This window comes from Homo sapiens, chromosome 10 (assembly GCF_000001405.40).
Source record: "Homo sapiens chromosome 10, GRCh38.p14 Primary Assembly".
In the NCBI taxonomy this organism is placed as follows: Eukaryota; Metazoa; Chordata; class Mammalia; order Primates; family Hominidae; genus Homo; species Homo sapiens.
In genome coordinates this window covers 61208336-61208981 of record NC_000010.11, presented here as the reverse complement: position 1 = coordinate 61208981, position 646 = coordinate 61208336, and the positions used below count along the sequence as shown (strand labels likewise).

The 646-nt window shown below is 38.2% G+C and overlaps 1 annotated feature.

Annotated features, from left to right (window-relative positions):
- Positions 1 to 216: a silencer, noted in NCBI's record as "fragment chr10:62968524-62968739 (GRCh37/hg19 assembly coordinates)". NCBI's record gives its function as "represses an EF-1alpha promoter that drives an FKBP-Casp9 reporter gene in an ReSE screen in K562 erythroleukemia cells {active_cell/tissue: K562}" and the evidence as "EXISTENCE:reporter gene assay evidence [ECO:0000049][PMID:32094911]".

The following is a 646-nucleotide window of genomic DNA, read 5'->3' as shown; positions in this document are numbered from 1 at the left end:
TGAAAAAAAGGAGACGGAGAGAGACAGAAATTTCTGTTTTGGAACAAAAAAGCAAACACCGAATGTTCCCACTCATAGGTGGGAGTTGAACAATGAGAACACACGGACACAGGGAGGGGAACATTACACACTGGGGCTTGTTGGGGGTGGGGACTAGGGGAGGGACAGCATTAGGAGAAATACCTAATGTAGATGACGAGTTGATGGGTGCAGCAAACCACCATGGCACGTGTATACCTATGTAACAAACCTGCACGTTCTTGCACATGTATCCAAGAATTTAAAGTATGATTTTAAAAAAAACACTTCTGTTTTAAATTAAAATAAAAACTGAATTTCTGAGGGCATGTGAAACATTAATTTTAAAAGGCTTTGACTTTATCAGTGACATAATTGGAACCACTGACCTGTATTAAAAAGAAAGAAAAATAACACACATTTGGGTGCTTTGGAATTAAGATATTGGTTTGATAGCCAGGCAGGCTGCATTCATTTACTTTAGTATGCTAAATTTCTAGATAAAACTAAATAGAGTGAGCCATTTGGAAATCTCAACTCCTTAGACTACCATATATACATAAATGTATTGTCACCTCGCATTAGATGAGTGTTTTCAATCATGCCTGTGTGCCTGGCATTGTACAGG